This window comes from Homo sapiens, chromosome 2 (genome assembly GCF_000001405.40).
Source record: "Homo sapiens chromosome 2, GRCh38.p14 Primary Assembly".
Classification (NCBI taxonomy): domain Eukaryota; kingdom Metazoa; phylum Chordata; class Mammalia; order Primates; family Hominidae; genus Homo; species Homo sapiens.
The window spans coordinates 196803756-196804416 of NC_000002.12; positions in this window are offsets into that span (position 1 = coordinate 196803756).

The following is a 661-nucleotide window of genomic DNA, read 5'->3' on the forward strand; positions in this document are numbered from 1 at the left end:
GAGGCTGAGGCACGAGAATTGCTTGAACCCAGGAGGCAGAGGTTGCAGTGAACCGAGATTGTGCCACTACACTCCAGCCTGGGCGACAGAGTGAGACTCCGTGTCAAAACAAAAAATAATAATAATCCAGTTGAAGGATGAATGCCCGTGCCCCAAAACTTTGCAAGCTCATAGCTAAATGCCCCATGTGGACGCCCTTCCTTTTCAATGCCCTGAAACTGATGAGCATTCCCTTTGTGGAGGTCTTAACACCGAGAGCAGGGATAGTAGTAAGAAAGTGAAAACCAGCCACTAGTACTTGGAACTCGACAGAGGTGAAAAACTCCCTACCACTCTACCATTTATATGAATAAGCTATGCTTTTCTGAAGAATAGCTCATCAAGAATTACTTACACTTTTTAAATGGCAAGAAAAAAAGTTTTGACATTAACTAAAAGCAGATTCCATTACTGTGTGAAAACTGGATGAATAGCACGTGTTTATTTCAATTCAACAAGTATCTATTGAACACTTGCTCCATGCTAGGCATTGTACTAGGTGCTGGGGAAATAAAGGTGAATTAGATATGGTCTCTGCTCACAAAGACCTCACGACTCTTCAGGGGAAACAGACACATATACGACTAATTACAATAGAACATCTTAAACCAGACACAAAATC